The sequence below is a fragment of the Homo sapiens genome, chromosome 18 (assembly GCF_000001405.40).
Source record: "Homo sapiens chromosome 18, GRCh38.p14 Primary Assembly".
NCBI classification, from domain to species: domain Eukaryota; kingdom Metazoa; phylum Chordata; class Mammalia; order Primates; family Hominidae; genus Homo; species Homo sapiens.
Window position 1 is genome coordinate 24807721 of NC_000018.10, and position 11558 is coordinate 24819278.

The window sequence follows — 11558 nt, forward strand, 5'->3', positions numbered from 1 at the left end:
CATGCCAAAACGCAAATGAAAACACAGTTTGAAAAAACAAAGTAATCATCAGAACTAGATTCAGATATGACACAGATGTTAGAATTATCAGGCAGGGAATCTAAATAACTGTGTTAGGGGTTTTAATGGAAAAAGTAAACAATATGTAAGAAAAGATGGGTAATATAAGAAAAGAGATAGAAAGTCTTAGAAAAAATCAAAAGGACGTTTTTGAAATAAAAAAACCATAAGAAAATTAAATGCCTTCAATGAGATCACCAGTAGACTCAGCACAGAGTTGATAGAGAATCAGTGGGCTTGAAGATAATGAAATACAACAGAAAAGGGAATTAAAAACAACAAAAAAAAATGACCATCCAAGAACTGTGGGACAAGTTTAGAAGGTGTAACACACCAAGGGGAAGAAGGAGAGAACAGAGTAGAAAAAATCCTTGAAGTAATAATGGCTGATAACTTTCCAAAGTTATGATAGACATCAAATCATGGATCCAGGAAGCTCAGAGAACACTATCCAGGATTTAAAAAAAAATTCCACACCAAGACCTATCATAATCAAACTGCAGAAAACCAAAGACAAAGAGAAAATCTTGAAAGAAGTAAGAAGTGGGAAAAACACTTTATCTATAGAAGAAGAAAGATAAGAAATACAATAAGCTTCTCATTAGAAACCATGAATGCAAGAAGAGTGAGGAATGGAACATTTAATGTGTTGAATGAAACAGACCACCAACCTAGAATTCTATATCCAGCAAATTATCCTTCAAAAGTCAAGGAGAACTAAAGACCTCAAACAAAAACTGAGAGAATTTATCACCAACAGACCTGCCCCGCAGGAAGTGGTAAAAAAAAAAAGTTCTTCAGCAGACAGAAAATAATATAGGTCAGAAGCGGAGTGCTAGAGAAGGAATAAATAAACCACCTGTCCCCAAGTGAATAGAATCACATCTGTCTCAGCATAAGCGCATGTCTGATCTGTGAATGATGACTGTGTTTTAAGGAAAGAGTGTATACTCTTGCACTCTTGCAGTATGGTTTAAAAATGTTATACAATAGTTTTGATTTTTTTTTCCAATTCTTGCCAGCAGGAAGTCAAGTTTTGGTTTCTTATAGGCTTGTAAATAGTGAATAGAAAGTTTAGAACTGATACAAAAATATTGAATTTGCAATTTATAAAAGCTATGAATCTTACCTACATCTGCATATGCACATTGTACCTGTAAATGTATTCTAGTGACAAGATGTGGGATAAGCAAAGGGTTTACATAGTGGAAGGTACAATTTAGAAAAGAAAATGCTTTAGTAAATTCCTCAATTAAAAAAAAGCTTTGTTAAACCATATTGCCAAATATTATAGTTAAGGACTTTACATAGGAAGTGTTTAAAGAAAATAAAATCTCAGCTAAACATTGGTACATTTTTAACACACAGTTTTTGAGATCCTTCTATGTGTTAGCTGACAGAGATACCAATATGATTAAGCCCTGATGAAGATGAGAAGCTAATTGTATGGAGGTGCCATTTGGTATCTTACACGATAACTGTTAGTATTTCAGTTACAGCTTAATATGCTCCCTGTTGAATTGCAAAAGCATATTAAATTAGAGGCGGCTTGATGACAGGGACAGACCATGTGTCTAGATAGCTCCACTCTTGGCACAGTGCCTAACACGTAATAGGTGCACAACAAATGTTTGTTAAATGGAAGTTTACAGGGTTGGCAGATTACCACCTGCAGGACAAATCTAGCCTTTGGGATAAATCCGACCTGTGTTCTGTTTTCGTAAGGCTCTCAGGCTGAGAATGTTTTATGCATTTTTAAGGCACTGTATACACACATACACACACACACAAGATTAATGTGACAGACCTTATGTGGCTACAAACCCTAAAGTATTTATTTCGTCCTTTACAGAAAACATTTGCTGACCTCTGCTTGATTGAGGTATTCCTTTTAACTCTTCCTGAACTTTGTCTTGGAGTAAGGTTTCTCCTTGTGTAATTATATGACCCCTTGGCACAGGCTTGCCAAAGTGATCTTCCTCAGCTGCCAGTTACATCCCAGGAATAAATGGTTGGCACACCCAACTTGGGCTGTAGTCCGCTTCACATGACACTCTGAACTTGCCTCCTTAATCAGCAAACAGGTTGTGCCATTCTCTTTGGTTTCCTGGTAACCCTTTACTACACAATCAAAGGAGAAAAGACCACTTGTGACATCAATGTCCCACATGAGGATTCTGCCCATTTAGAAGAGTTCCCAGATTGCTTTTTCATCTTATCAGTTTTTATCTTTTGTTGTTTCCTTCTTAACAGTGCACATGCCTATTCCCTCCCATCAACTGTTGAATCTTTAGCAACATTTATGGCTCCCTGACCATGGATACAAACTATTTCAACTAGACACTCACCAACTTGTCAGAAAAAGCCTGTAGTTCCTACAATACAGTAGAATTAAAATTTGTTTAAAAGAGTTTTATGAAAAGTAAACAAAAACTAAACCAACACATAAGATTATAGTAAATAATTTGATATGTATGTGTTTTAACTAAACTATATGACCTTCCAGGGCAGAGATTTTTTTTTCTCTGTTCCCCATTGCTAATTTCAACACATGCTCAATAAAGACTGATTAAATGAGGTGTGTCTCAGGCTCTGTGAGGGCAACCTATTTGTCAATCCAAAACACAAACCAATTAATAAAGATATGCGGTCATTTTGCATCCTCAAACCAGAATTCTGGAACAAAGCTCCTGAATATACAAGTGATGAATATTTAGACTTGAACTTTTCACTGTAGCCAATGGAGGGAAAATCCTTTGCACAGTGGGGTGTAATACTGAATTTTTATGGGTCTCCAGAGCATTGCCGATTCAGGGGATATGCAAGTAACCTCTAACTCTTTTCAGAACTTGCCATTTAGTTCACTTTTATTATTTGTTTTTCTGGGAACCAAAGGTCAAACTTGTTATATTTGCACCGTACCACCTATATGGGAATGACTGAGATCAACAGAGCCCTGGATCGTCATCTTTCCGGCACTTCGCCAAAGCAGCGGGGATGCCAGACCTTCCCTTCCTCGTGGGGACTTTGGAACTTTTGTTGGGTCTCTGTGAGCCTGAGTACACCACTAGCTCTGTTTTTCACTCAGAGTTCTTATTTTTAAGGCCATCTATTAATTTTTGCTCAGACTCTCCCCAAATGCTCTCTTGCTCCACTGCACAAGGTCTTACCGAAGATAAAAGACATAGATGTGTGAAAAAAGGAGGGATCTTGTTTTTCCCCCCGTCTCTCAAGGCCTTATTTATGGGTTTCAGTTGGTGGCAGGGATGTTTATATGAACCTTACCCAAACTGCCTGAACCTCCTGGGCCTGCAAATATCAGGCTGCAAATTTCATGAGAGTAGAACTTTTTTCCAGGATGGGGGAGGGGTGGCTAAGATTTCCTGTACTTCCTGTTTTAGAGCTGCTGGAATTGAGACAAAAACTGTATTTCAGGATTTCAGTACCTGGCCCCAGCTGGAATCTGGACATACAGATGTGCACAAAGAAGAAACACATGTGCACACACATTCACACCCACACAAATACCTAGAAAGGGTCATGGTATGTGTAGGTACTCACAAAAATTTACTTAAAACACACAGATGGTACTTTCCATTTTGAGTAAAATGGATTCAAATTCCAAAACATTTTCATAAAGGTTTTTCAAAGTTTCAAAACCAAACCAAACAACAATCCGATTTGGGGGAAACGGGTGAGTTCATTACAATTTTATCCAGATTCTCATGAATGTACTAGAGAAAAAAGATGGAGAGAAACAAACAAAGAAACCCAAATCCAACAACTTGTAAATGTAATGTATGAAAGCCAGGAGCACGATGGCCTGGTACTGCCAACAATTGTGGGGCTTTGTCCACCTAAATGGTTCTTAAATGAATGAATTTGGGGCGTCCTTTCTGCGATGTGGCAGATACTTCTCACCTGGGCTGAGATGAATCCAGGCAGCAGGATTCTCCTCAGAGGACATGGACACTGCTCTGCTAAATTCCATATACATGTATATGGGGCGAAGGAGAAGGTTAAAAAAGAGTCAGGGTGGAGGCAGATGCAAAACCACAAATTAGGTGATGCGTTGGATTAGCCTTTGAGTCCCTGCCTGGCTGTCAAAGGCTGACTGTAAAGATGTGATGTTGATACCAAGCAGGTTATTGCTTGCACAGCAGCACCCCCAAACATATGCATCCTCGAAAGGACTGGCCTTTGTGCAGATGTTGAGCCAGCAGGTTATTAACGTGCAGTGCAAACAGGACCGGTCCGTGGAACACAGGGAAGGCGTGCCTGAAAGGGAGAGTCAAAGTTTCCAGTAACCACTTTCAGTTGGCAGAACTCTGATTGGAACCATGTGACAATTTTAGGCGATGTACCATAGGCAGCCAATTTATTACATATGGCAGTATGATTAATGGTATCAAATACCTTTTTTTGGTAACATCCAAGAACACTCCGCCAGCCAACTGCTTGGAGTCCAAGGCAGGGAAAATCTGTTCCATGAATTTAAAGTCAGGCAGATGAGGTTAAATGAGAGAGGGCCAGAAGCCAAGGCAATGATTACAAAGTAAGTTGTTCAAAAAAGAGCAGAATGTTTTAAATCTGGTCTTGAACAAATCCCATGCAGTCCCCACCTACCCGACCTATTTTTCTCTTTGCCTTTCTCCCCTTGCTTCTTGATGTGAACCCTCATAGCTACATTCTTGAGGACATTTCTAAAACCAGGCTGTCTTCCACTTGCCCAGAGACTTTTCCAGGCCCAGGCAAATCTGCACGTGACCACTGTCTGGATCTTTCTTTGGAATCCTATGTCGGGGGTAGCAGCAGAGACCTACAGATGGGGTGGGGCACTTGCTGTGCTGGGTGTCCTAGGGGAGGGCCTCCCAGCTGCATCACACTCTCGTTGATGGTTAGGAGGCCCTTCTGCCCTCTTCTCTCTGTGAGTTGGGTTTCCTTGAACTTCCAACATCATCACAAATGACTAGGAAGAAACTGTGGCACCCATGGGGAGACGTGCAGAGGCAGGGACCTGTGAGGAAGGTTGCTTACCATTTGGGAATTGAAGAATGAGCATACAGAGGAGGGAAGAAGCAGAGAGAGTCTCAGGATGTGACTTGGTCTCCAAAGTGAGCCCACACAACATGCAATAGGTGCTTACTATGTATTTGTTAAATAAATGTGTACTATCACCACATTCTTTGGTGTTTTCTGGTGGACATCTGCCTGTTTTGTCAAAGTTGTGAGTCGTTGCCTTCTGAAAATAATTTTATAAAAAGACAAACACATTTTGACTGAGGGCCCACCAGGCACTAGTAGGTGGGATAATTTATGTATTTGTTAATTTTATTTCAGACTGTTTTTATTTATTTACTAGATAATGTATAATTGATACAATTTATTTTTATTCTTATGGGCTACAGATTGGTAGTGTGTGGTTGTATCTAACAGGGCAAACTGATCACTTACCCTGTGTTTCATGGATTAATTTTTTTCCTTTTTTGTAAAAACTGAATCTGGTCTATTGTTTGGGGGTTCATTCTATTACTTGGGGCTCAGTTTTCAAGCCGTCAATTTGGTATGCTCTTTAGACCTTGCCTAAAAGTCCTAGATTACATCTTTGGCAAAGCTTTTTTTCCCTATAAAAAGAGAATTTAATATGAAAATCATGAGTAGTCATGAAATGTATGGAAGTCAGGTGACTCCGATTCAGGCAGGAGAGTAAAGATGTGTTCACAGTGAAACAAAAGGGTCTTGAAAGTGAGATTGAGCCATAACATGGGGCAACTGGGCAATTGCACCATGACTGCCACCCCTAGGGACGGAGGCGTAGCCTTAAATCAAGATGATGTTCCTTAGCTTGCTCTGTTGGAGGTTTTCAACCCATTCTGACCTACTGTGTATGCAAAGGCTCCGTGACAGATAGGGGTTGACTGTATTCTGGTAACTCCCTCTTTTGAACATCACTGTTCATTCATTGAAAATGATATAAAAAACAAGATTTAATACTGGCCCTCCTCCAACTCCCTTCCTCCACCATCTTTAAAATGAAACCCAGACACTTCCTTCCTCCGAAACATAATTATTTCTGCTGAGTGAATCACACTCACTTTTAAATAAAAATTCACCTTTGCTACGTATTCTTTGAAGGTCAAAATGGAGCAGTCTACAGAACTGCTAGAATAAACAAATCAGCCTGTTGGTTATAATGGGCCAAGAGTCGATTTTCTTTTTAGTTCTCTCCTGGAGTGTAGCAACACAACATTGTCCCCTTGGATTAGTTTCCCATTGCTGCTATAACAAATTGCCCCAAACTTGGCTCCAAACAACACAAATTTGTTATCTTCCAGTTCTGAAGGTCAAAGGTCTGCAATAGGTTTCACTGGGCTAAGACTATATGTTGGTAGGGCTGTGCTCCCTTCTGGAGGTTCTAATGGGGAATCTATTTCCTTCTTCCTTTTAAAAACTCTTTCCCCCTTGTTTAAAAGCCCTTTGCAGCTTCTAGAGGTTGCCACATACTTTGGTTCATGGCCCCGTCCTCCACCTTCAAAGCCAGCAGCATAGCATCTTCAAATCCCTAACTCTGCCTCTGTTGCCACGTCTCTTCTGACTCCCATCCTCATGTTTCTCTATTATAAGGACCTTGTTATCTCATCGGTATGCTCTGATAATCCAGGATAATCTCCTGTCTCAAAATTGGTAATTTAATCCCATCTTCAAAGTCCTTTCTGCTGCATCAGGTAACATATTGACAGGTTCTGGGTATTAGGATAGAGCCACTTTTAGAGGGCCATTATTCTCCCTACCATTATGATGCAGGAAAGAAGAGGAAAAACCCTCAGAAAATCATATGACAAGGTTGTGATGAAAAACAAAGAGGCAGCCAGCAAATCTCTGCTTAGCACTTCTACCAGGAAGCTCTCTCAACCCCCTTGCTTTGTTGCTTTCCTGGCTCACTCTGTGTACTTCATTCATAACTTAACTGAAAGCAGGACTTCGTGGAAATAGAATAATAGTGCTAATTGAGTGCTTATTCTGCACCAAGCCGTTACTTAGTTCATTCTCACAAGGGGTAGGTGCTATTATTCTCTTAGCTTTACTGATGACAAAATGGAAGCGTAGAGGAGTTAAGTAACTTGCCCAATAAAGCACAATTGGCAAATAACAGAATAAAGCAAGATTTGGATCTGTGTCTGTAGGATTCCACAACCCCCATACTTGACCGCTGCATTTTTCTGCCTTAAGTTTAACAAAGGAAAGGAAAGTAAATGGGGGAGGTTGTCACGGAATTTGCATTTTTTTTCCTTCTTCATCTTAAGTCAGCCCTTTACAAGTACATAATCTACAGCCCTACCTCATATTCTTGTGTTTGTTGTTAACCACTCACTGCCTGTTACACTATGTCTTTGATTCCCAGTACTATTCGCTAACTGGGTCCCTAGTCTAGGCCTAAATGGGTCACAGGGATCTATTCTATGTGTCTTCTTGAGCCTAATTCTTATCCACCAGGGTCTTAGAAACTGGAGAGAATCTAGCTGTTCAGTGGCTAATAACTGTATACCACCACTGCCTAATTTTCTTTCTTTTTTGAGAAAAATATTGAACTCTGAACATCAACAGGATTTCCAGGATTGCCAAATTAATAAAAGCCTAGTCGTATATGAATTTATATTGTCAGGATGTTGTCTTTGGACCCTAATTATGCTAATGCAGTTGTAATACTAAATTTGAAATCAAAAGAAATTCTAAAATATAAAAGGGAAGCTAAGCTAAAACAGTCCTGCAACAGACTACAATCACCGGTAAAAAACAGTTTTCGGCTAACATCGAGATAGAGAGAATGACTTTTACACACGTTGTTCTGCAATCCAGAGAAATTCTAATCTTTAAAGGATTTTAAATCCAAGAGATATAACTAGGCAGTCATGGGACCCATTCCACTAGCCAAAATTCACCTCTCTAAAGCAGTCACAGCTTATACAGTGTAATAGAATTGACAGATGTCAGACCCTGGTGAGGGAATATAATCATTGCCAAACCTTCCTGAAAGGAACTTTTGCTGCAAGTGTTGGGGACAAGTAATTCAAGATGTAAAATCTGCAGATAGCCCCAAAGTGTCATTGTCTGCCTCAGGCTCCACAGCACTTTCTGGGAATTAAAAAAAAAAAAAAAAAAAAGAAAGCATTACTTTTGACTAATTATTAAGATAAATATTCATTTATTTCATTAAGAATAATAATAATGCCACCTCTGAAACAAAAGTATCTTACAATCAGAAAACATTGCAAACAAAATCATGGCCTAGAGCAAATTTCTGGTTCTTTAGGTTGCAAATCTTTTTCGGTAGAACCTACAAATTTTCCAGGAACATATATGAAAAATAAAATTTTACATTTGAGGTCCTGATTGGCAAAGTTGATCCATTTATAAAACCCATCTTTTGTGCAGATAAACCCCACAAAAGGATTATAACCTTAGAATGTACTTTTATAAAAATTGCAATTTCCCCCATGTTTATCATTGCTATTGGCTGGAACATTTGGGATAAAAAGATTTGCATTTTCCCCAGGTTTTTTGCTTTTATCTTTCCACAATTCCAACAGAGTCATGGTGAGGTAGCTTCCTGTCTTTCTGATTTATCCAAAGATGCCCCTCTTCTATTAGAGCTGTGATTCATTGATTCTTTTCTCTGGGACTGAGGGGGCCAAAGTGAAGTTTTAACGTTCTCTGAAACTTGCTTTTGAATAAGCTCAGAGGAAGAGAAGCAGACTGTGGCTCATTTCATTTTCATGCTTGTATCATTTTGACTATACATCAAATAGGTGTTGAAGCCACTTTTGTAAACGTCAACCCAATGAATATAAATATAAATAAATCTATGTAAATATAGATATATATAAATATAGATATTTAATATAAATAAATAATAGGTATATAGATAAATATAGATATAGATATAAAATCGCCAATATTTTGGTTTTTTTAAGAGATAAGGTCTCACTTTCTCATCTGGGCTGGAGTGCAGTCATAGCTCACTGTAGCCTCAACCTCCCGGGCTCAAGTGATCCTCCTGCTTCTGCCTCCCAAAGTGCTGAGATGACAGATACATGAGTCACCGTATCTGGCATCCAACAATTTTAAAAGCAGGGATTTGAGCAGGTGAAATTTATAGGCAACATTCGCCTCCCGTATTTTCCTTGTACCAGTGGTTCTCAAACTTGAGCATACCTCAGAACGACCTGACAGGCTTTTAAAAATGCAGGTGGCCAAGCCCCACCCTCTGATTCAGGGGGTCTGGGGTGGGACTGGAGAATTTGCTCTTCCAAGTTTCTCCAGGAGGGTGCTGATGCTGCTAGTCTGAAGACCTCGCTTGAGAACCACAGCTCCACACCATCAACGAGAATGGAGAGGCTTATTTTAAGAATATTTACTTAGAGATTTTATTATGGGGAGAAAAACATGTGCAGTAAAGAAATTTTCTAGTACATATTATGGGTTAGGAACTGTTTTGTGCACTTTATATACATTACCTCATTCAATTGTCAGTGACCCTTGGGAGTAGGTATTTTTATTACCTCCATTGTACAGATGGAGAAAGTGAGGCTGAGCAGGTTAAAGGACTTGCCTGAGGTGACCCAGCTGGAGGCGGGTGGGGATGCAGAGCCTGTTTCTCAGACTCCCAGCTTGTATCCTTAACCTCCTCCCAATATTGCCGCCCAGGTGCTTGTTTAAAAATCTGATGATGTGTTTCTGTAGAAATATAACTCTCATCCCAAATCAGACTCCTCGCTAAAGTCGCATGGTCTAGAAGACTTGCAAACCCAGGGGCAGAAAGGGTGTTTGTGGCTGGTGCATGGTTTCCCAGAGTGGGCTCACCATGGAGAAATATTTCCATAACAAAGGCAAGTTGTCCTCCCCGAGAAGAGCGGGCAGGGAGTTGCAAGTGTCTGCCTATGATGTGATCCACATTTAATGCTTATCTGGGTGAGAGGGAATTTGATTAGAGCAAATACAAAGCCCAATTCAGAGAACAAAACCACTAATTCAAAGGTGGTTTTCCTATGGATGTAAAATGCTTCAAGCCTGTTAAAAGGACTGAAGAGAATTCCACCGAGGAGTGCCTTATATTGTGTCTGATTTCTCAGATCCAAGCACCACCAGGCTGTGTGGGTGTCTGCGGGGCATGGGGAGCTGGCATGGCTGGGCCACTAACAGCACTGGCAGGCACTGTCTAGCCTGAAGGGGACACAGTTTCAGGCATGGGGACGAGGGAGGCCGTTTGTCCTACAGACCCCTTTTCCACCCCTGACCCACCCCCTCTGATGAAGCCTCTGTTTGCATCTGGTGGCTTCTCAGCCTAGAAGCGTTCCAGCACTGCAGTGCCCTGATATGTTTGTTTTCCTTTCGGCTAATTTTATCAAGGTCTGGGGTCATTATTAGCCAGATCACAAAAGTAAGAGCTCATTAATATGTATCAGCGCCAAACCCTATGATTTCATCTGTTAATTTGATCTTGTTTTTCCTTGTTTATGGCAATTAAATCAGACCTTGATAAATCTGAAAATGAAAAAAAGAAGCCACCAGCAAGCACAGCTATTATGATCACTCATTAGAAAGCCAAGCAGACTCTCTGATAAATCGTGCCAGGGTTTTTAAGGACTAGATGATTACCTGCTTAAACAGCATGGAAGCTACCAGTAAAATGTAGCAAAATGATTAAAGAAAAAAAAGAACACCCCCATTACATCCAAGTGTAACAGATGGACAGTTGTACTTTGGGGAATGTTCCCGGACCATGTCTCCTCCCCTTCAAGCTAGGGAGGGCAGAAGCCACGGGCCCTCCTGGGCACAGAGGAGAGACAGCTTCCCTTCCTCGCTCCCTCCCTGGCCCTCCCCCATATCCTCCTGGCGACTGAGGGAGAATTGCTCAGCTGCCACTAAGGCCTCACTCCAAACTGTGTGATGGTTAAGAAAAGCGCTAAGTACTGGGGAGGTGAATAGGTGGGAGGAGGTGGGCAGAGCTGGGATATGTCGGTAAATGACAAGATGGATGTGACCTTTCCTGTCACAAATGAGGCCGGGTGTCACTATGGAGGAACGCTTGTCATTCTTTTTGGCCCCTCTGTGTCTGAAAGCCTGTCCTCTGTTCGGGGAGCCACCACTGTATAGATTCTCATGGGATGCGGAACTGCCTTCTACAATTGAAGTTGAAAATGCCAACAGCTTGCCTTCCCAGTTTCCCTGCTAGGACATGGACACTGTCCTTTCCAGCATCAGGGTCCTTGAAGAACCCCTTATTCTGCTTGCAGGACATTAGGATTCCTGGAGCCACTGTGGCTAGCAGCTTTAGGGTCTTGGTGGTAGATTTCCTCTCTGCAAGAGTTCAGTGTTGGGATTTGGGACATAATCCCCCACATGTGGTTCTCCAGGCATCCTAGTGTGCCTGTGAACTAATCAATATTTTAAGAACCAAACTTTGTGCTTAACTTGATCAGCGTTGGTTTCTGTTGCTT

At 40.7% G+C, this 11558-nt stretch overlaps 1 annotated feature.

Annotated features, from left to right (window-relative positions):
* Window positions 9525–10158: an enhancer, noted in NCBI's record as "NANOG-H3K4me1 hESC enhancer chr18:22397209-22397842 (GRCh37/hg19 assembly coordinates)". NCBI's record gives its function as "activates a minimal SCP1, AML or CMV promoter by ChIP-STARR-seq in naive H9 embryonic stem cells {active_cell/tissue: H9 hESC(naive)}" and the evidence as "EXISTENCE:reporter gene assay evidence [ECO:0000049][PMID:30033119]".